This window comes from Homo sapiens, chromosome 7 (assembly GCF_000001405.40).
Source record: "Homo sapiens chromosome 7, GRCh38.p14 Primary Assembly".
Lineage (NCBI taxonomy): Eukaryota > Metazoa > Chordata > Mammalia > Primates > Hominidae > Homo > Homo sapiens.
The window spans coordinates 63,229,445-63,253,862 of record NC_000007.14 but is presented as its reverse complement, the minus strand read 5'-3'; the positions used below and the strand labels follow the sequence as shown (position 1 = coordinate 63,253,862).

Here is a 24,418-nt window from a genome sequence, read left to right as displayed (position 1 = left end):
AGTTTACAGTTTCACCAAGAACCACACTGATGGTCGAGTTATTTTCTTTAGGCTTATTTTAAGCATGGGTTTTTCTCTGAATACTTTAGTCACATATCTTAGTTTTTTATGTGTAATACTCATTTTGTTTGTATTTGAGTAATTTTCAAATAAGAAGAGTTAGAGAGATATGTAAGTAGGCAGATGGATTACATTATTTTTTGTTAATTTTTAATTTCACTACCTTCAGAAAATATGATCTGTAGGTTCCAGTATTGATTTATTTTTCTGTGTAGCCTTACATAGGATCAGCTTATTGAAGTATTCCATAGGTTTCAAAAATATGTTTATTCTCTGGGTAGAAATTTCTGTGTATATATTTGACAATTAAGCATATTATTTCAATCATTTTACTTTTTAAGCACTTGATTTGTCCATATCCAAAAGACCTATTAGTCTTTTAACGTGGAATTTGCTAACTTCCCATTGTTTCCAAGTTTTTGCCTTAAGTGTTTTTAAAAATTTTGTTATTTATATTCTTGCTTCTGTCATATCAAACTTTCAAGTCTTTCTAATTTCCTTAAATGAATCACAGAAATAATGCAACTACTTATTGAGCACTTAATGTGTACCAGGCACTGTGCTTAGATTTCACATATATTATCTAATTTATTCCTCATAGTTCATACTCTTATACTAATTCGATATGTAAGAAAACCAAAAATGCAAGTATCTTGCTCACTATAATTATGGAATTATAATAACGGAATTATACAGTATGTATTCTTTCTGGACTGGCTTCTTTCACTTACCAGTATACATTGGTTCATGTCTTTTCATGGCTTGTTAGCTAATTTCTTTTTGGTGCTGAGTGATATTCCATTTCCTGGATGTACCACAGTGTATTTATCCATTCGACTACTGAAGGACATTGTGATTGCTCCCACATCTTGGCAAATATAAATAAAGCTGCTGCAAATACCTGTGTGCAAGACTTTCTGTGGATCTAAGTTTTTAACTTAGCTGGGTAAACATCAAGAAGAGCAATTGCTGGATCATTGCCTTGTGTCCTCACTGCTCTTAAAGATTGGATACTGCTCTTAAAGATGAGATCTGTTCAGTTTTTTACTTCTTAGAATGGAGTGGCAACTTCCAAGCTCCTTATGTACAGAACCAGAAAAAGCAGACTGAGTTTTCAACTACTTTTTGGTACCCATTTTTCCTGCCTCCTTACTCTGAATGAAACTTGTCTCTTTGAGGGTCATTTCCCCTGTGGCATATAACTCTCTCAAGCGGGAGCTTTTGTTTCACCTCATGAGCCTCAAGGTGGGAGATGGTCTTGGTTACTTTCCTTATTTCTCATCCAAGTTTGTGTTAAAGGCTTCTGTTTCTTTGGGTCTTCCAATTTAGAAGGAAATAGAAATCCCTTTAGTTCAGAATAAATTGTTCTAAGAATTAAATATAAAGTTCTCAATTATAGGACAAAATAATTAAGGTCTTATTGATTTGGCTTTTCTAATTGAATTCAATTCTAGGGGAAGAAATGCTTTGATTTTCCTGCTTCCTTGATTCTAAGATAAGATCTACTCTGAAACATATAATCAAATTTGATTTGAGGGAGGTTAAATAGTACAGTCAATTACATTTTGATTATGAGACATTTGTTTTTAGAAATATTGGGGGGCAAAATTGTATCTTAAAGTTGAGGAAATGGAACAGTTCTCAATCTGTTATGAAAGGTTTACTTTGCCCAGAGGCAACTTAAAAAGAAAACTACAACTAGCATAGAAATAACTCAAGCATAAATGTGGAGCTGAGAACTAGAGAAACACCTGTTACACAGGAGCTGTGTTGAATTGGAATCAGAAATTATCTTTTTCTTGGCCAGATGATACCCTTTGTTGTTTGCAGTGTTGACTTTGATAGAGAACACCCAGTTAGTGTAGTTATGGTTCACATTGTAGTTGGTCTTAAAAAAATAGGAAACCTAATCATTTATCTTTAAATTGCAGTTTTCCCACTTGTTTGATAAGTTTTTAAACTTTTGTAACCGTGGATAAAATTTCTTGAAATACAATACAGTTTGGTTTTAATACCACTTGGGAATTGAATTAGAAAGCTTTGGTCCATAATTTCAGTGTAAGTAGTCTAGGAATTGATGGAAGTTAATTTATTTATATATCCCATGATATGTTAAATACCTCATAGCTGAGTTCAGGGTATACAGCGTATTACTTCACATAGTCAATGTTAAGAATTTAAAAGATAAAGAAAAAATCCAGTGGGAAAAAATATAATCTTAACTGAAAGTATAACTATGTATTTGCTAATTTTTAAAGAGTATTAAAAAAGCAGAAAGCATTTAGAAATTTGATGGCAGATAGTACTACAAGGTACACACACTGTTTAGAATAAAGGGAGAAACCTTCATCACTGTTTCCAAAAGGGGAAGTTACTCAAAAAAGCGGGGGGTGGGGTGGTGGCAAACAGTCCAGTCCTTAACTAGGAAAATCATGAACCACTTTTATTTCTTTTTTTTGAGACAGAGTCTCTTTCTGTCACCCAGGCTGGAGTGCAGTGGTGCGATCTCGGCTCACTGCAGCCTCCGCCGCCCGGGTTCAAGCAATTTTCTTGCTTCAGCCTCCTGAGTAGCTGGGATTACAGACATGTGCCACCACGACCGGGTAATTTTTTTTGTATTTTTAGTAGAGACAGGGTTTTGCCACGTTGCCCAGGCCGGTCTTGAACTCCTGAGCTGAAAAGATCCCCCCACCTCGGCCTCCCAAAATTCTAAGATTACAGGCGTCAGCCACCATGCCCAGCCCCCACTTTTATTTCTGATTTTAGTAATTTGAGTCTCTCTTTTATTCTGAATCTAGTTTATCGGTGGTCAATTTCGTTTATTCTTTTTAAGAACAATTGGTTTTGTTGATTTCTATTTTGTTTGTTTGTTTGTTTGTTTTGAGACGGAGTCTAGCCCTGTCGCCAGGCTGGAGTGCGTGCAGTGGCGCGATCCCGGCTCACTGCAACCTCCGCCTCCCTGGTTCAAGCAATTCTCCTGCCTCAGCCTCCCGAGTAGCTGGGATTATAGGCACGTGCCGCCACGCCCAGCTAATTTTTGTATTTTTAGTAGAGACGGGGTTTCACCATGTTGGGCAGGATGGTCTCAATCTCCTGACCCCGTGATCTGCCCATCTCAGCCTCCCGAAGTACTGGGATTACAGGCATGAGCCACTGAGCCCGGCTGATTTCTATTCTTTTCTTTTTCTTTCTTTCTTTTTTTTTGAGACAGAGTTTTACTCTTGTTGCCCAGGCTGGAGTGCAGTGACGCGATCTCGGCTCACTGCAACCTCCGCCTCCTGGGCTCAAGCGATTCTTCTGCCTTAGCCTCCCAAGTAGCTGAGATTACAGGCACGCACCACCACACCCAGCTAATTTTGTATTTTTAGTAGAGACAGGGTTTCACCATGTTGGTCAGGCTGGTCTTGAACTCCTGACCTCAGGTGATCCACCCTTCTCAGCCTCCCAAAATGCTGGGATTACAGGCGTGAGTCGCCATGCTCGGCCCGATTTCTACTCTTAAAAATCTCTTCTATTTATCTCTGCTCTAATCTTTATTTTTTTCTTGTTTTTCTAGCTTTGAGTTTAGTTTGCTCTTCTTTTTCTAGTTCCTTATAGTGTAAACATATTGTGTAGCCTTGCAGCTTTCTTAAATGGCGCCCATTGCTTCTCTTACCGGATGAGGTGCCAGTTAGGTAAACAGGAATCAGTCCTTCTGGCCGACCAGAGAGGGTAAAATGTTACGAGTTTGGTCTGCACTCTTCCCGCCCATTTGAAGGGAATGAAATGGGAGTTGGTTTGCTGCCTCCTCCAGACCCAGATAAACTGCAGAAGGGGTGGGACAAGATCACAGAAAAATGTCACAAAAGTTTTACATGTTTTTTTTTTTCTCAATTGGGCATTTGCTTTGTTGCTATAGACATTTGACTGTTTTTCACAGGTCCTGTAAGGTTAATTCAACTAGTTTCTGGTTGTTTTTGGGGTTTCTGTGAGGGAATGAGTCTTCGAGCTTTTTAATTTGCCGTTTTGCTGATGCCACTCAATAATGCTTTTTAACTTATGAAAATAATAGAATCATGTTGAAGGAAGTTTGCAGCCCCCAGAAGTATAACAAACTAAGAAAAAAATCTCACCCTCATTGTACTAACCCCAGAGTAGCCACCATTTTACATTTTACTGTGTTACCTTTCAGACTTTTATTTTTCTTCCTCTCTCTTTTCCCTTTGTCCTGCATCGTCTTGTTCCCCCACTCCTCACCACAAATAAAAAGGGAAAAAACTGAAAAAAAGCCCTCTAAACATGATTTATTGAGTACAGTGTTAATATTTTAATTAGCATACTTTTGTTTTTAATTTCCCAAAACGTTGTATGTACTAAAATTTTCATTTATGTTTCCAAAAGGAAATATTATAGATATTTCTGGTAACATCCAAATGCTTGGGTTTTATTCTAGTCTTTCTGCCTTCAAGGTGTAAGAGTTAAGAAAGAATCAGGTGTGGCCAACCCGTGTTACTTTCCTGTGACTTAGACCTTTATGGCATTTTTACATCTAGTAAAAAGTGGCATGCTCTAAGTCAAAGGGGTAAGCCCAAACCATGTGGAAAGGATCTTATTATCTCTTTTGAAAGCTAATATAAAAAGAATTCCTCCTAGACATATAAGTATTGTGCCATCGGTTACTTAGGCTAAACATGCCTATTATTCTAAGTGAATTTTTAACAGTAAATACTTTAACTCTGTGCCATGTTAATTATCATAATATGAATTCTAATTTGTTTTAACCTTAGGTTATATATACCTTGAAGCCATTTATATTTTGGTATACTTGTAATAGTTACTATACACTAGACTATGTATATTGGACTAGACATGGAGAGTCAAAAAAGAGTATGTGATCAGAGTGGAAATCATGCCGTAGCTTCCTTCCTGTCTACCTCGAGTAGAAGTGGTAGAAAAAGTAATTACCTAAGATTTTTTTGGATTCTGGTTTATGGAGAAGCACCCTTATGTTTAGGCTGATGGGTGGCTAAATTAGAAAGTATTTTTTGTGATTTAGAATTTTATGTGGAGATGTTCATTGTGATTAATTATTCTTTGTATTAGCAGATTTTTGCTTTTTGTAGCTGCATGATTTCTTTTGGTCATCCATTATTGTCTATTAATAAAGAAAAACTTTATTTCACTGAAGCAGTGATACATAATCCAACTTGGATTTTTTTTTAAATGACTGAAGTTTTTCCTTGGGAACACATTACTGTTAAAAATGTAAATTATTAGATACATTACTTTTAATGAATATAAGTATAATTAGAAGGCTGAAAAGAATCCTTGGAAACATGAGTCTAATTTGATAGCTAAGAAACTGAGGACAAGATACTCTTTGTAGCATATTTTCTAATGTCATTTCATTGTCTCACCAAGAAGTACTTGCATAAAGCAAGTTGGATTATAGCATCTGTTGAATATTTAAGGTTGGGTAAAATGGGTGAGTTTAACAGATATTTTCCCTTATTTCTTTTAGGGGAATCTGGATTGGGAAAGTCGACATTAATCAACTCATTATTCCTCACAGATTTGTATTCTCCAGAGTACCCAGGTCCTTCTCATAGAACTAAAAAGACTGTACAGGTATGGATATTAGTATTGTTAATTGATGATAAGCTGGAATAATATTAATACATACAAAGCACATGTTGTAACTTTTATTATCCTTCCTTAGAGGTAAGATGCAAATTTGCCCTTAGCCAGTGTAAGATGGTAAATATGACTTCATAACATTAAAAAAAAGAAGTACAGTTAATCAGAAGAATTATCTTGACTAGAACTTTCCAAATTTGTCCTAAGGACTCTCCTAGAGATGAAACTGTGACATAGTAACCAATTCTCCTGGAGTTGTACTATCTAGTATGATAGTCATTTGCCAAATGTTTACATCAGTTAAATGAATTAAATTAAAAATGCAATTTCTCTTTTGCTCCAGATACATTTCAAGTGCTCAACAGCCACATGTGGCAAGTGGCTGCCATTTTGTGCAGCACATATACGAAGATTTTCATCATTTCAGAAAATTGCATTGGACAGTGTAGAGAAAACATGATTCATAGAAAAGCTATTGTTATTTAAATACAGTGTTCTATATTAGTCAGTGGGGTAATGCCATATCATAGTTGAATAGCAATAGCAATTCTGTAAGACTCCCAAGGTATATGTGATCTAATTTACTGCTTCTCAGTCTTTGCTATGCATTCCAATCCTGGGCATCCTGTTAAATTTAGTTCTTCTAGTAGTTCTGAGATGGGCTGTGTTTCTACATTTCTAACAAGATCCCAGGTGATGCTGATGCTGCTGGATGGTAGATCACACTTTATAGAGCAAAGGGCTAGACTCTAGATATGCACTTTTTATTAAATAGTACAGCAGCCTGTAGCCACATACGGCTATTAATCTTTGAAATGTGGGTAGTCTGAATTGTGATGTTCTGCAAATATAAAATATACCACCGATTTCTAAGACTGAGCATGGAAAAAAATCTCCATAATTTTTTATATTGATCGTATACTGTAGTGATCATGTTTTGGATGTATCAGGTTAAATAAAATTGATTAATTTCACCTTTTTCCTATTTTAAAAGTGGCTACTAAGAAAATTTTAAATTACTTGTATGATTGACATGGTATTTTTATTTGGCAGCACTGCTCTAAACTGTTGATGAAAAATACTGTTGGTGACCTCTGCTTGTGTAATATATAGGACATGAGCAGAGAGGAGGCAAGTGAACAATTCTGGCTGGAGTAGGCTTCATGGAGGCAGTGATGCTTTTAGCTGGATTTGAAGAAGTGGAAGTGATCATCCCAGTGCACAGGATGGAAGGACTGTCTGTATATTCTGGGCAGTAACTCATACATATCAAACTGCAAGATGGAGTTTAGTAACTAGAATCCCAAAGGAGTAATTTTGCGAAGTGAATATCTTATTTCTCCTTTTTAATGTTCCTCTCTATTATAGGATTTTTTGGGTAACCTTCATAGGGCTTGAGATTTAAAATTACCTGCAAAATTGTGCTGTAAAATCTTGATCCCACCTGCTTATTTATTTTGCCTGACGTGCCCGAAGTGGAGTGGTAGAGCTTTAGAAGTAACTGTTGTGGCTATAAGAGAACATGAATTTATCAAGGGACAGAGTCTGGGAGATGAGATTTTTGGAAAACCCAGACTTAGGACTAAGGGGAGTGAACTATCAGAGAGTTGCATGCAAATGTCAGTACGATATGAATCAGAGTAATTGAATATCACATTTTATTCACAAAGGGGGAGATTCAAGAAGCTGGATTGTAAAGTAACAGTAAGGGTTTTCTGGATGTAAGGAATGATAAAAATGTACAATGATACACTTTTTTTTTGAGATGGAGTCTCACTCTTGTACCCAGGCTGGAGTGCAGTGCACGATCTTGGCTTACTGCAACCTCCACCTCCTGGGTTCAAGCAATTCTCCTGCCTCAGCCTCCCAAGCAGCTGGGATTACAGGTGCCCACCACCACACCTGGCTGATTTTTGTATTTTTAGTAGAGATGGGGTTCCACCATGTTGGCCATGCTGGTCTCAAACTCCTCAGCTCATGTAATCCACATGCCTTGGCATCCCAAAGTGCTGGGATTACAGGCGTGAGCCACCACACCCAGCCAACAATACACCTTTATGTTTGTCTCCCAGAAGGGAGTTTTAGTAACGTGGTGAAGATGAATGATGGCAGATATAGGAAGTTTGAAATAGAATACATGATGAAAAGAGGGAGGACTGACAATACAGAGTATTGCCACCCCACGTATATCCAAGAACACTGCATTGGTAAAGGATATCCATAGAGCAGCTGAGGGTATCTTCAGTGTCTTGAATTATTAAATAATGATGACATCATCCCATATGTATTGTGGATTTATCTCATATGTACTGATTTTATATATGATAGAAATGCTATAAACAAAAATTTGTTTAACCAAAATACCACATTCACCTAGACAATTCGAAGAAACAGAAATTTATTCTAAAATTCCCTAGTTTGAAAACAACTTGATATGTGATCTGAAATATATTATTATGTATTAATAAAAACTCACATATTACCTTAGTAATATTGCTAAAAGGCAGTTTCTTTTAGATTTTATGAGCTTCAGTAGTAGCTAATCTACAGTTTCTTGTCTAGTATTTAAATAGATAATATAAAGAACACTCTTTCATAGAAAGGTCATCCTTCAGTAACTGCTTTGGGAGATTTATGGGGTTTTATTTTTTTTGAAACAGAGTCTTGCTCGGTTGCCCAGGCTGGAGCGCAGTGGCACAATCTCGGCTCACTGCAAGCTCCGCCTCCCGGGTTCACACCATTCTCCTGCCTCAGCCTCCCCAGCAGCTGGGACTACAGGCGCATGCCGCCACGCCAGGCTAATTTTTTTATCTTTAGTAGAGACGGGGTTTCACCGTGTTAGCCAGGATGGTCTCGATCTCCTGACCTTGTGATCTGCCCGCTTCCACCTCCCAAAGTGCTGGGATTACAGGCGTGAGCCACCGCACCCAGCCGAGGATTTATTTTCTTTATTTAAAAAAATATTTTTGGCCGGGCGCAGTGGCTCACGCCTGTAATCCCAGCACTTTGGGAGGCCGAGGCGGGTGGATCACAAGGTCAAGAGATGGTCAAGGTCCTGGCTAACACGGTGAAACCCCGTCTCTACTAAAAATACAAAAAATTAGCAGGGCGTGGTGGCGGGCGCCTGTAGTCCCAGCTACTCAGGAGGCTGAGGCAGGAGAATGGCATGAACCCTGAGGCTGAGCTTGCAGTGAGCAGAGATCATTCCACTGCACTCCAGGCTGGGCGACAGAGCCAGACTCCGTCTCAAAAAAAAAAAATACAAAAAGTAGCCAGGTGTGGTGACACACGCCTGTAGTCCCAGCTACTCAGGAGGCCGAGGCAGGAGAATCACTTGAACCCAGGTGGCGGAGGTTGCAAGGAGCCGAGATTGCACCACTGCACTCCAGCCTGGCGACAGAGGGAGACTCCGTCTCAAAAAAAAAAAAAAAAAAGTTTTCCTCTATGTTATTTTAGGAACCAAGCAACATGGGAGGTGTTGAGACAGCACAAGCGGGCAGGGAGGAGCGTTGAAGAGCAGGCAGGCTCGCTGGGAAAGCAGAGGTCGGGGACAGGGAGAGAGCGTGGGATGGAGAGGGCATCTGAGGGGAGACGGTCAGAGGTCGACTGCTGTCCTCAAGCCCTTTTTCAAAGTCATCCCACCTCTTTGAAAGGCTCATTTGCCATTTAACAGCTGTTGACGTTTCTTTAAAAATGAATCTGAGGGTATGTGGCTGGGCAGCAGGCACCAGCATCAAGAGGCGGAGGACAAACAAGGTCCCTGGGCTGAGGATCCCACCCTGGGCAAAGCCCATAGTGCATAGAAGTGGCAGGAAACTTAGGGCTCCAAGAGGCTGACCTACAGGGAGCTGACCATTTGCACCCACCCTTCCTATCCTAGGCAAAAGAGGGAGCGAGCTGAGGTAAAGTTAGAACTAGGCTTCTTTAAAGTAACAGATTAAGCACTATTTAATTTCTGGTCTAGACCTCAAAGGAGTTAAACAAGGTGATTTCCGCCAGATTTTCTTGGTTCTGGGTTTGTTCCATGAGAAGCTGTAGGTTCGGTCCTGTACAAGTTCTAGAACCTTCCGGAACCTGCAGAACCTATTTGGGCAGTTGAAGTGAGTGGAGAAAGCAGGAATCTCAAAATATCTCAATATAAAGACACCACTCCTTCCCCTCTCTTCACTGCCCTCACAAAAGCAGGTCCTCCACGCCACTGCCTACCCATACCGCTGCGTTCTCACTAATAAGGCCATTTCTTTCTTGACTTCGCTGTGCTCTTGGCCCAGTGACAGTGATCAGAAATAATCAGGGGCGATCAAGCCCATGCTAGCCTGGATAGGGGGTAATATTTCCATTGAGGGCCTCCCTAGTGGCTTTCTCTCTCTGAGCAGCGGGGACATGTGACAGCACAGGGCAGCCCGCGGGGGTTATGGCGGGGTGAAAAATCTTCCTGTGGCTGTGGAATTCTTGATAAGGTGGCGAACGTGTTGTGCAGCGGCATCCTGAGGGCTGCCCGCCCTCCCAGGCGCCCAGGGCGGGCAGGCAAGCTGCACGCTGTCATCGCCTAAGTCAGCGGCATTGGGCACTCTTAATTACAGGGGAAGCAGAATCTGATTGCACTTTCTGTGCCAGCTCCTGACTTCGTTTGCATCGTCCTTTTATTTTTTCTTTTTCATACCTCAATGTACTAAATCTGAAAGATGTTTAGAGCTAGATTTTCACCAGCACGTATTCAGAAATGAATACAGGGATGAGGAATTTCATTCATTTATCCTTGCATTGGCTGAGCAAATATTTATTGAGTGCCTGTTGTATCCAGGTACTGTGCTTGGTGGTAGGGGGATTCTCAGATTTGTTTTCTAAGGTGAAACAATTGGAATTTGGAGCCACTGATATTTTCCATGATCATCATGGAGAGGGGAGCTATAATATTTGGACATCACAATGAGGTAAACTGGAAGTAATCAGCCCAGAAGACACTGCCTGGTTCCTGGAAGGTGAAGATTGAGATGCAGGCCCATAGTTGGGAAGCTCTGCCTTAGATCTGGGCTTTGTGTTGTTTCCATTAATGAGGCATAAGGTGGAAAGGTGGTGCCTGTCATCTGGGCTTGACAATCTCAAATGCCCTAGAAGAAAGTCTTCCCTCCTATGCCCATTTCTCTTTCTCTTTTCTTTTTCTTTTCTTTTTTTTTATTATACTTTTGAGTTCTAGGGTACATGTGCACAACGTGCAGGTTTGATACATAGGTATACATGTGCCATGTTGGTTTGCTGCACCCATCAACTCATCATTTACATTAGGTATTTCTCCTAATGCTATCCCTTCCCCAGCCCTCCACCTCTTGTCAGGCCCCCGTGTGTGACGTTCCCCGCCTTGTGTCCAAGTGATCTCATTGTTCAATTCTCACCTATGAGTGAGAATATACAGTGTTTGGTTTTCTGTCCTTGTGATAGTTTGCTGAGAATGATGGTTTCCAGCTTCATCCATGTCCCTACAAAGGACATGAACTCATCCTTTTTTATGGCTGCATAGTATTTCATGGTGTATATGTGCCACATTTTCTTAATCCAGTCTATCATTGGTGGACATTTTGGTTGGTTCCATCTTTGCTATTGTGAATAGTGCCACAATAAACATACGTGTGCATGATTTATAGTAGCATGATTTATAATCCTTTGGGTATATACCCAGTAATGGGATGGCTAGGTCAAATGGTATTTCTAGTTCTAGATCCTTGAGGAATCACCACACTGACTTCCACAATGGTTGAACTAATTTACACTCCCACCAACAGTGTAAAAGTGTTCCTATTTCTCCACACCCCCTCTAGCATCTGCTGTTTCCTGACTTCAATGATTGCCATTCTAACTGGTGTGAGATGGTATCTCATTGTGGTTTTCATTTGCATTTCCCTGATGACCAGTGATGATGAGCATTTTTTCATGTGTCTGTTGGCTGCATAGGTGTCTTCTTTTGAAAAGTGTCTGTTCATATCCTTTGCCTACTTTTTGATGGAGTTGTTTGCTTTTTCTTGTAAATTTGTTTGAGTTCTTTGTAGATTCTGGATATTAGCCTTTTGTCAGGTGGGTAGATTGCAAAAATTTTCTCCCATTCTGTAGGTTGCCTGTTCACTCTGATGGTAGTTTCTTTTGCTGTGCAGAAGCTCTTTAGTTTAATTAGATCCCATTTGTCAATTTTGGCTTTTGTTGCCACTGCTTTCGGTGTTTTAGTCATGAAGTCCTTGCTATGGGTCTTAAAATCTCTATGGAATCTAAATTTGGTGTCAAGTTAGCTTATTTTTTATTGGTCTACTTTGAGTGTAAATGAAAACAGATGAATGCTACCTTCCTTAACAATAGTCTTTTGTTAATTTTAAATCTGAAATTTTTGTTTTGGTAAAATTTTGAATTTATATTAAAGCTTTTTTAGCTTTATGCCCCCTAGCTATTAACAGAAGCAAACTCTTGCTGTTTATTTATGACAGAACACACATGCAGGACTTGAAAGATGTTACTAACAATGTCCACTGCGAGAACTATGGAAGCAGAAAACTGGCAGCTGTGACTTACAATGGAGTTGATAACAACAAGAATAAAGGGCAGCTGACTAAGTAAGTATATATTTTTTCTCCAAAAAAGGTATTCTTTCTGTAGTCAATAATCATATTGTTTCATTTTCATTAAATTTCTCCTGGCTCCTCAGTAGAAAATTTGGATAATGTTCTCTATGCACAACAGCATAAATGTATATTGTTATGCTTTGTTAATAGTAGACACTTTTTTGAATGAACCATTTTGATGGAGTTTTCACTTACAGATTGTGTGGAAACAAAGGACAGGCTTTAATAAAAGGAATATGTAGATGAATTTATTCTTGCTTACCTTCTCTAATCCTATTCCAGGGAGTAAATTAGCTGGAGTTTTGGTTTCTTCTTTTGGTTGTTAGAGTGGTGTAAGTGACTACGAATTGTGTAGCTTTGTCCTATTGAGCTTGTATCTCAAGCTGTGGTGTTTTTATGTGGGGGTCGAAAAAAGAGATGTGTGAGGAAGCTGGTAACCATGTCTGTGCCCTCCTTTTAAAAAATTTGTCATTACTGAAGATCATAATTACACCATATGTCACTTAACAATGGGGATATTCTGAGAAATGTGTCATTGGGCTATTTCGTCATTCTGTAAACATCATAGAGTGTACCTACACAAACCTAGATGGTAGAGCCTTCTACACACCTAGGTTATGTGCTCTAGCTATTGCTTGTAGGCTATAAACCTATATAGCGTGTTACTGTACTGAATGTCATAGACAGTTGTAACATAATGTTAAGTATTTGTGTATCTAAACATAGAAAAGGTGCAGTAAAATACAGTATAAAAGATTAAAAATGGGATATGTGTATAGGGCACTTGTTGTGAATGGAGCTTGCAGGACAGGAAGTTGCTCTGGATGAGTCAGTGAGTGAGTGGTGAGTGAATGTGAAGGCCTAGGACATTACTGTACACTACTGTGGACTTTATTAACACTGTACACTTGGGCTATACTAAATTTATTTTTTAAATTTGTCTTTAATAATCTTATTTTGCTGTAACTTTTATAGTAACTTAAATTTTAAAAAACTTTTTGATTCTTTTGTAGTAACACTTAGCTTAAAACAGAAACACATTGAACAGATGTACAAAAATATTATCTTTATAATCTTTATTCTATAAGCTTTTTTCTATTTTAAAAGTTCTTTCTTTTTTCACTTCAAACTTTTTTTTTGTTAAAAATAAAGACATAAACTTACACATTAGCCTAGGCCTACTCAGGGTCAAGATCATCAAGATGCTACCGGGCAGCAGGAATTTTTCAGTTCCTAGGGGCCACCATCATATATGCAGTCCCTTGTTGACTGAAATGTCATTATGCAGTGCGTATCTGTATTACAAAACCATTTTAAATAATGGGCATTTGTAGCTAGGTGTTATCTACCATTAGACGAAAATCCTAAAGGATCAACTACATGTATACGAAAGACAAGTTCTGAAAGTAGCTATAGTGTTTTCCATAGTGGTTAACATGCCTTATAATGGAATAGAAAAATGTCCCTTCTTAAATATTTAAAATACAAGATTCTGTTTGAGGTAAGCCTCAATATGTGAACAAAAGGAAGGCTTTTTATCTCTTTTGAGCAAAATCTTTATTGAGCAACTTTGGCAAAAAATGTAAGCATCCATCATAGTGAATATTGTTCATAAAATCTTAATTCACTTTAAACTCATTATCAGTAACGATGAACTTTTTAACTCATTAAAAGAAACACATACACAAAGCTACTGATAATTTTTATGTTAAAATACTACCAGTACATATTTTTTGTTAAATATATGTACTTATTCAATATATTTTTAAAATGTTTGTTATGTTGTAGATATAAGGAATTGTTTATTTGTCCCCGTGTCTCAAATATAAGGCTTTTTTTTTTCTTTTGAGACGGAGTCTCACTCTGTCGCCCAGGCTGGAGTGCAGTGGTGCGATCTCAGCTCACTGCAAGCTCCACCTCCGGGTTCATGCCATTCTCCTGTGCTCAGCCTCCCGAATAGCTGGGAATACAGGCGCCTGCCATCACGCCCAGCTAATTTTTTGTATTTTGTTTAGTGGAGACGGGTTTCACCATGTTAGCCAGGATGGTCTCGATCTGCTGACCTCGTGGTCCGCCTGCCTCGGCCTTCCAAAGTGCTGGGATTACAGGCGTGAGCCACTGTGCTTGGCCATATAAGGCTTTTTAAAGTAGTGCTGTTGGATGCAGGTAAGATAATTCAGAGAAAAATTGTAAACTTTACAGTATCATGAAGTTTTTTTCTGCATATACAAAATTCTACTGTGTGGATACGTGAGTCAAACTATATCCCAGGTGAAAACACAAATAGAATTCTACTGGAAATATATCTCTTAAAGAGAGGAATCATGACCATACTTTGCCTATGCAAATATAAAAAATGTTTGCATTGCTAAAACGCAAATTGCTCCAGGAGCTAGCATAATATTTTATGTTAATAATAAGTAGGAAAATAAACATTTCAGAAGATAAAACCAACTGGGGAATGTCTGTAATTGGAATAGATATTTGATATGATTTGATAAATTAGATTGTTACTACTTCATTGAATAACACATACTGAATCTGAAAGAAATCACTTAGAAGTTTTATCTATTGGTTGTATCTTACATTGTCTTGAAAATGTTAGCAATTTCAAAGAATATTTTTGTTAAATTTTTCTTTAAAAATCATTAACAACTTATGGTGCTTTAGCAGAGTAAGGTGCTTTTCCTCATAGCTCAGTACATATCCATGAATAACTGAAAAGAAAGACTAATGTTTAAATAAGTGAAGTAAGCAGGTGTGAGTTTAGGCTTCTTTTAATGTTCTTTCTGTATTGCTCTCATGTGACTCTCCATAACAATATATTCTTTGACAGTGGTAGTGACGAGGGGTTGAGAGTTGCAAGAATTTTGGCATGGAAGGTGAACCTATTGAAAATTTATACTTAAATTGATCTTTGGCAATGTATGCTTCACAAAGTGCTAATCACACTTTGGTTTTAAAATATAAGCCACACTTTGGTTTTAAAGATGTTAGATATTGAATAGTAAAATACATTCATGTGCCATATAACGATGTTTCAGTCAATGACTGACTGCATATACGACAAATTCCCATAATATTATGATGTCATACCATAGAGCCTAAGTGTGTAGTAGGTTATACTATCTAGGGTTGTGTAAGTACACTCTGTGTTGTTCCCACAATGACACATGAATTTCTCAGAATGTGCCTCAATTTTTAAGCAATGCATGACTGTAGATCAATTTATCTTATATCTAAATTTTCTGAGGTAGTTTTGGGCAAACTGTAGAGTCTATTGAAACATGAAATAAAAAACCAAACACCGCATATTCTCACTCATAGGTGGGAATTGAACAATGAGAAAACATGGACACAGGAAGGGGAACATCACACACCGGGGCCTGTTGTGGGGTGGGGGGAGGGGGGAGGGATAGCATTAGGAGATATACCTAATGTTAAATGACGAGTTAATGGGTACAGCACACCAACATGGCACATGTATACATATGTAACAAACCTGCACGTTGTGCACATGTACCCTAGAAGTTAAAGTATAATAAACAAGATAAAAAATTAAAATTAAAATTAAAAATATAAGTGTAGATGTCTGAAAATGTGCCTTTCTTTTATGTCAAGAGTCCTAGAACAATTCTATTTTAGAGGGACTTAAAACAAGAATTAGATTGTGTGGTTTAAATCTGAAGAATTAGATTGTGTGGTTTAAATCTGAAGACTAGCTGAACTTGTCCAGTCAGCTATAATTCGTCTCAAGGTTAGATCTGGAGAAGTGGATGCTATTCTTAGCAGCTATCCAGTAATTACCTGTTTCTGACAAAGAAAGTATGGAGCCATCTAAGTGCTTCTTATATCCTTAGAGAATGTATCTTGCATCCCTGTATGGAGGTTAGTGGGTGGTTGGAAGCCACAGAAATGGTAACCTCTGAAATCAAAGAAAATTCAGCAAGGGTTTGTAAAGGAAAGGGGAGAAGAGTTGGTCATATCCAGATTGCTGATCTCTTAAAGGAAGTGATCCCCAATAAGAGGAGGGCCATCTCTTTTTTATTCTGTTTGCTAAATGTCCTTCTTGAAGTTTTATCTGCCTCCTTTTTCCTTGATCTTCCTTGTACCCTTTACTTAAAGTCACATTTGATTGGTGACTCTTTTTCAGAACTGATGTCTATCATTGGTACCAATTGTGACAATAGATACCTTGCTCCAAGTTGGGGCAAACCCTAGTCTCTCTTTCCTTTATGTTAATTTATTTTTCTCTTCTTTATAGCCTTCTCCATCAGTCATCTTGGGAAAACTTTATAAGTGAATGACTAAAAATACAAGTTTCAAAGGTAGATCCTCAGAATTCTTGATACATGACAAGAGTTTTCATTGATCTAAATAGAAATAAAGACAATTTTCTGAAAATTTCAAGTTGTTTTAAAAAATTAAACTTACTCAGATGTATCTTTTACTCTTTATTCAAGTGTCCTTTCATGAAATTATAATGATAGTAGTTGGAGTTTTGTTTATGTTTGGTTTTAATACTCTTACTTGGCAAAACAAGATGTTGGCAACCATTATTACTCAAAATTTTTGGAAATTTTTATTGATCTTTGAAATTTTTTTTTTTTTTTTTGAGATGGAGTCTTGCTCTGTCACCCAGGCTGGAGTGCAGTGGAGCAATCTTGGCTCACTGCAACCTCCGCCTCCCAGGTTCATGCCATTTTCCTGCCTCAGCCTCCCGAGCAGTTGGGACTACAGGCGCCCACCACCTCACCCAGCTACTTTTTTGTATTTTTAGTAGAGACGGGGTTTCACCGTGTTAGCCAGGATGCTCTCAATCTCCTGACCTCGTGATCCACCCACCTCAGCCTCCCAAAGTGCTGGGATTACAGGCGTGAGCCACCGCACCCTGCTGATCTTTGAAATTATTTAAGTGAAATTCCTTTGGAAAATTTTGCACGTAGTGACCTACTAACCACTGGAGCAAAAGTATGTAAATCTACTTGCTTACTGTGTTCTTTAGGAAAGACCACCACACATAATTTAAATGAAACATGATTGTCTTTTATTACACTCCAAATGTGGGTCATGTGTAATGCAGCAAAGTAGAACTTGACTAGGTCATCCTTCTGTGGTGGCTCTAATTTTATTGGTCACATGAAGGGGTGTGGCTTGCAAGAATTTTAACCTTATAAAGACAACCCTAGAAGGAGCTAAATCTTTGGGGATTTAGTTTCATATTCAGGTTATGTTGTTACCATTTTCTTTTTCTTGTTTTACTAGGCTTTTTCCATTACTTTGTCTGGGTTTTTAATTTCGCTGGTAGGTTTGTAAGCTTTACTACTATATGTGTGTGGGTAAGAGTTTCCTATTAAAAAGCAGGCAGACAATGATATAACTGAAATGGTTTTTCCAGCCATTTAATAAAAGGTTTTACTTGGAACAAAATAGTAAATGTGAAGACAAAAAGTGATCTCCCTACATTTTCTATATTGTAAGCACAATTGTTTGTTTTGATTTTTTAAAAATTAATCAAGATGACTAGAAGTGAGGTGTTAGTTTAAAAGTTAAAAATTTGAAAGATAATTTTTACTGGTGAGAGACTTCAAAAAATTCATTTTAAATATGCATGAATGAACATTTTTTCACGGTATTTGAGTATATTTGGTCAGATTATTTTTACAAGGCTAAAATCTTACAGTATCTTAGCTGTTAGATATTGCAGATTTCTTTTAGAAAGTACACACATTTAGCAGGTTTAGAACTTTGAACAGACTTTCAGAAGACAATCGCACAGCATATTTATTTTCATAGTGATTTAGTGTAATGATTATGAAAGTAATTTGGGAAATAAATTAGCTTTAGCAAATTTTACTGTAATTTTTTTTTTATTTAGGGCACATACCTTAGTAATTTAATTGTGAAAGCTATGCATTTGCTTTTAATTGAAGCTTTTAGCATGCTTTACTTTAAATGCGCTAAATCACTAATTTTTGTTCCTTTAGATTTGATACAGTTGAAGGCATGTAAGGCGGGGGATTGTTTTTCCAAAGACATAGCAGTTTTTACTATACAGGGATTTTTAATATTTAAATTTTGAATTTAAAAGAAGATTTTTTTCTTTTTCTTTGAGATGGAGTCCTGCTCTGTCACCCAGGCTGGAGTTCAGTGATACAATATTGGCTCACTGCAACCTCTGCCTCCTGGGTTCAAGCAATTCTCCTGCCTCAGCCTACCAAGTAGCTGGGATTACAGGCTTGCACCACCATGCCCAGCTAATTTTTGTATTTTTAGTAGAGACGGGGTTTCACCATGTTGGCCAAGCTGGTTTCGAACTCCTGATCTTGTGATCTGCCTGCCTCGGCCTCCCAAAGTGCTGGGATTACAGGTGTGAGCCACTGTGCCCAGCCTAAAAGAAGATTTTGAAACATCATTGCATGTTTTCCCTGCAGTCTCTTATTTTCCCCCTAGAGTTATTTAAATAATAATTTAGGTGGCAAAATTACCTGCTCCTTCCCAAGGATAAAGTAAAATAAACATTTTATAGATGAGTTATGTAAGTAGGAATAGATATTTAATTCTCTCTGATTTCTAATTTAATGTATTTACAATCACAGTTATATTGTTGAATAATATTAAGTTGCTTAAATACACATATTCAGTTACTAAAGGTTAGCAATTAAAAATCATTTTTAGATTTTTTCTTTTCTGGAGCCTAAAAAAGATTTTTGGGGTGTTAGGGGACAGTGGGAATTATAGACTCCTTGAAAATCTAGCAAAAGCTTTGGACCCTTTCACCGGAAGAATACTGGCAAACACAAACACACATTTGGTATGCTGTTTCAGGGTAGTCACTGACACTGGGTGTGCTCAGGAGATCAGAAGCAACTATATTAAAAACACCTGCCATTAATATGAGGCATATATTATTAAGAAGGATCTCATCAACTTTAAAAAAAAATTACACTTGAAAATGTATTTCAGCTGACTCCACTTTTTGCTTTGTTTTGTTTTTTGAGACGGAGTCTCACTCTGTCACCCAGGCTGGAGTGTCGTGGGGTGATCTCGGCTCCCTGCAACCTCCACCTCCCAGGTTCCAGCGATTCTCCTACCTCAGCCTCCTGAGTAGCTGGGACTACAGGCATGTGCCACCACACCCAGCTAATTTCTGTATTTTTAGTAGATATGGGGTTTTGCCATGTTGGCCAGGCTGGTCTCTAACTCCCGGCCTCAGGTGATCTGCCTGCCTCGGCCTCCCAAAGTGCTGGGATTATAAACATGAGCCACTGCGCCTGTCCTGGACTTCCTCTTCTGAGCGCCCTGCTGACCTGTCCTGATGATGACTGTTCCTGCAGAGGTCTGCAGAACCCCCAGTTACCTGGCCCTGAGATCATGGAGTGCTCCATGAATGAGGACCATCCGGGCTACGGAAGGAGGGGACATGTGAGTGCGCCAGGAGGAGGATCACCCGCCTGGGCTGGGCGAGGGAGGAAGCAGGCAGGGCTGGGTCGGTGCCCCTGGCACTGGGTAAGTGGCCCTGGGCCCTCTCACGTCCAGGTGGAGCACGGGCGTCATCATGTACATGCTGCTGGCTGGCTCCCCACCCTTCTGGCACCAGAAGCAGATGCTGATGCTGAGGATGATCATGAGCAGCATCTACCAGTTTGGGTCGCCTGAGTAGGATGATTACTCAGACACCATGAAGGACCTGGTGAGAGAGAAGGCCGACTGGCTCCTGGGCTCAGGGCTGCGATGCCAGGCTCCCTTGCCCAGGGAGGCCCCGCCTCTCCTGACATGCTGGAGGGGACCTGCCTTAAGTTTCTCGGGTACCCTCTCCTTCCCTCCCAGGTCTCCCGATTCCTGTTGGTGCAACCCCAGAGCTGCTGCACAGCGGAAGAGGCCTTGGCACACCCATTCTTCCTGCAGTACGTGGTGGAGGAAGTGCGGCACTTCAGCCCCCGGGGGAAGTTCAAGGTACGAAGCCTCCTGACCCAGACCCTGTGGCAGTTGCCGCCAGCTCCCCAAGTGCAAACCTCTAAGCCGTCTCCTCCCCCAGGGGTCCTTATACCCCGCGGGTTTCCAGAGTACCCACCCCTCCCCTCCCAGCCGCCCTGTGATGGCTTCAGAGATGGCAGGTGTCAGCCCACTGGCTCCGTCCCTGAGGATGCTGGCCAAGTGGGAAGTGGGGGACACTAGGAGGGCCCCGCAGAAGCCACTGAAGGCTTCGTGGCAAATGAGCCCAGAGAGTCCTGTGCTGGAGGGGCAGGGCCTGGCAGGGCGGGGGCTGCAGCCCAGCTTCTCCGCGTGGCCTTCAGGTGATCGCTCTGACTGTGGTGGCTTCAGTGCGGAGCTACTACCAGTACCACCGGGTGAACCCGGTGACCCGGGAGATCGTCATCCGAGACCCACCCCTACACCCTCCAGCCTCTGCGCCGGCTCATCGACGCCTACGCTTTCTGAATCTATGGCCCCTGGGTGAGGAAGGAGCAGCAGCAGAGCTGGGCAACCCTTTTCAAGAACACACCCAAGGCCGTGCTGCTCTCCCTGGCCGAGGAGGACTACTGAGGGGCTGGCCAGTCAGGGAGGGCTGGGGGGCAGGTGGGGAGGGGAAGCCACGGAAATACAAGTCAAAGGGGTAGGATGCATGCAGGCCTCTGCAGAAGGAGCGCTTGGCCCTGGCCAGGAACCCGTGAAGCTGAGGCCACGATCCCCTCTCAAAGGCTATGCACAAGGGAAGCGGGTATTCCCACCACACAGCAATACCTGCAGGCTGGGGCAGGCCCTGGGTGGGCAGAGATCACACGTGGCCTGAGAACCAGGAACCCCCTGCTCCTCCACTTCCTAGATGAGCCACCATCTCCGTTTCTCTTTAGGGGAGGACCAGAGTTACTGACACTCGGGCCCTCTGCCTTTAGGGTCCCAGGGTGAGGATGAAAGACACAGAAATGTCTGAGATACACAATCGCAGGAGATTTTATTGGCCCCATGACAGCCAGTGACAGTGTGGGAGCAGGCTACTCTCCAGGGACATGTTTCTGGAGGCATATGGAGAAGGGGGCCGAGGTGAGGTGGCTCACACCTGTAATCTCAGCACTTTGGGAGGTCGAGGTGGGACAATTGCTTGAGGCCAGGAGTTCGAGACCAGCCTGGGCAACATAGTGAGATCCCATTACTATAGAAATTCAAAAAGTTAGCCAGGCATGGTGGTGCATACTTGTAGTCCCAGCTACTCAGGAGGCTGAGATGGGAGAATTGCTTGAGCCCAGGAGCTTAAGGCTGCAGTGAGCTGTGATCACCACTGCGCTCTAGCCTGGGCAACAGAGTAAGACACTGTCTCAAAAAAAAAAAAAGAAAAAAAATGGAAGGGGAAGCTTCTGATATTTGTCTTTCTGGAGTACTGTTTGCTTTGTGATTCCCACAATGCACTGCTTCACCTAGTACATCATTCGGTTCTCTCAGACCTTTTAGGACTGAACTGTGCTTTAGATAGTTTCATGCCTGCCTGTTACACAGTGGAAACTAGTTTTCTTCAGAGGGACACGAAATGACAGATGAGGCCATGAAGAAAGCATTCTCCTTCCACAGCAACTAGCTAGGAAAGCGAACACACAAGTGATCCTCCTGCCTCAACCTCCCTACCAGCTGGGACTACAATCGTGTGCTACCATGAAGGGCTAATTTTTTTTTTTTAATTTTTAGTAGAGATGCGGTGTGTGTTGCCCAGGATGGTCTTACTCCTGGGCTCAAGTGATCCTCCCACCTCAGCCTCCCAAATTGTTGGAATTACAGGTGTGAGCCACTGCATCCAGCCCTTCATCACATATCTAAAAACAATCACCAGAGGTAGATGTAGCAGGTGTTGTTATTAACTCCATTTAACAGATGAAAAACACTGAAGCAAATGGAAGTGAAAAATTGGGCTTTTAAAATGGAGTTTTGGCCGGGCATGGTGGCTCATGCCCAAAAGTGGTAGAGATTGAGAAATAATTAGCATTAACTCATCAACAAAATTCTAAGTATTTTGATTGTTAATACTTTCAGCTTGATCCCAGTGCAAGAAAACAATCTGAAATGGGAACAAATATTTATTTATTTTTTTAAAAGTTCACTACTATATGGATTTTTTTTTTTTGAAACGGAGTCTCACTCTTGTCACCCAGGCTGGAATGCAGTGGTGCAATCTCAGCTCACTGCAATCTCTGCCTCCCGAGTTTACGCCATTGTCCTGCCTCAGCCTCCCGAGTAGCTGGGACTACAGGCGCCCGTCACCACGCCTGGCTAATTTTTTATATTTTTAGTAGAGACGGGGTTTCACCGTGTTAGCCAGGATGGTCTCAATCTCCTGACCTCGTGATCCGCCCACCTTGGCCTCCCAAAGTGCTGGGACTACAGGCATAATCCCACCTGTAAAGCCACCATGCCCGGGCCATTATATGGAAAAGTTTCAAGAAACTGAAACATTCAACAATAAAAAATTAATTGGTAAGTTATGTTGATTTACCTAAAGGATTATTGTGTAGGCATTTTAAAAAACTTTATAAATTTCTAATTGTAAGAGAAGATAGTAATGATATACTAAGTGAAAAAAATTAAAAATTTACTTTATTTAACCTCAACTGTTATGTTTTCTTTCTTTCTTTCTTTTCTTTCTTTTTCTCTTTCTCTTTTTCTTTCTTTCTTTCTCTTTCTTTCTCTCTCTCTCTTTCCCTCCCTCCCTCCCTCTGTCTCCCTCTCTCTCTCTCTCTTTCCCTCCCTCCCTCCCTCCCTCTGTCTCCCTCTCTCTCTCTTTCTTTCTTTCTTCTTTCTTTTTTTTTTTTTTTGATGGAGTCTTGCTCTGTATCCCAGGCTGGAGTGCAGTGGTGCAATCTCGGCTCACTGCAACCTCCACCTCCTGGGTTCAAGTGATTCTCCTGCCTCAGCCTGGCAAGTAGCTAGGACTACAGGCACGTGCCACCAGGCCCAGCTAATTTTTGTTGTTGTTATATTTTTAGTAGAGACGGGGTTTCACCGTGTTTGTCAGGCTGCTCTCCAACTCCTGACCTCAATCTGAAATAGGAACAAAGGTTTATTTTTTTTTAAAAGTTTGCTACTATATGGATTACAGGCGTGAGACACTGCACCCAGCCTTGTTTTTTTTTTTTTTTTTGAAACGAAGTCTCACTCCGTCACCCAAGCTGATGATCCACCTGCCTAGGCCTCAGATGATCCACCTGCCTAGGCCTCCCAAAGTGCTGGGATTACAGGCATGAGCCACTGCGCCCAGCCTCTTTTTATTTTCTTTTTTTTTTAAATAGAGATGTGGTTTTGTTATGTTGACTAGGCTGGTCTCGACCTCCTGACCTCAAGCAATCCTCCCATCTTGGCTTCCCAACGTACTGGGCTAACAGGTGTGAGTTACTGTGCCAGCCCTCAACTGTTTTTTTTAAATGCAGAAAAATTACTGGAAAGGCTGCAGTGAGCCGTGATCACACCACTGCTGTTTAGGAGTGTGAGACCTTCCTAGGTAACAGGGTGAAACCCCACCTCTACGAAAAGTACAATTTTTTTTTTTTTGTAGATGGAGTCTCACTCTGTCGTCCAGGCTGGAGTGCAGTGGTGTCATCTTGGCTCACTGCAACCTCCGCCTCTTGGGTTCAAGTGATTCTCCTGCCTCAGCCTCCTGAGTAGCTGGGATTACAGGCACCTGCCACCTTGCCCAGCTAATTTTTGTATTTTTAGTAGAGATGGGGTTTCACCATGTTGGCCAGGCTGGTCTTGAATCTCACCTCAGGTGACCCACCTGCCTCGGCCTCCCAAAGTGCTGAGATTACAGGCGTGAACCATTGTCCTCTACCCTTCTCTTTACTAGAGCAAAGGAATATTTCCATTTCTAGTTACCTAGTTACCCACTAGGTCAGGGAAGACAGAAACTACTTTTAATATTCTTTTGCTGCTTGAAGAATTAACTCAATCATATGCCCTGACCAATTCACATGGAATTAAACTCCTGGGTCTAGCAAATGGTGTTTATTTCACTAGGGGGAGGAGAAACCTTTATGAAGTAGGTCTACAGCGGAGCCAACCTTATCTGCTGCTATAATTTTGCCCCAGTTTTTAAAGGCCTCATTAAAGAGATCAAGGCCATGATTCCACAGGGATTTATAAACTCATCAGGG

General features: G+C 40.6%; 2 pseudogenes, besides 1 other annotated feature; both read left to right on the top strand.

Moving 5' to 3' along the window:
- Nucleotides 5,542-12,273, top strand: SEPTIN7P4 (septin 7 pseudogene 4; annotated as a pseudogene).
- PHKG1P1 (phosphorylase kinase catalytic subunit gamma 1 pseudogene 1) lies at nt 19,617-21,098 on the top strand (annotated as a pseudogene).
- Nucleotides 19,965-20,133: a silencer, noted in NCBI's record as "fragment chr7:62694108-62694276 (GRCh37/hg19 assembly coordinates)". NCBI's record gives its function as "represses an EF-1alpha promoter that drives an FKBP-Casp9 reporter gene in an ReSE screen in K562 erythroleukemia cells {active_cell/tissue: K562}" and the evidence as "EXISTENCE:reporter gene assay evidence [ECO:0000049][PMID:32094911]".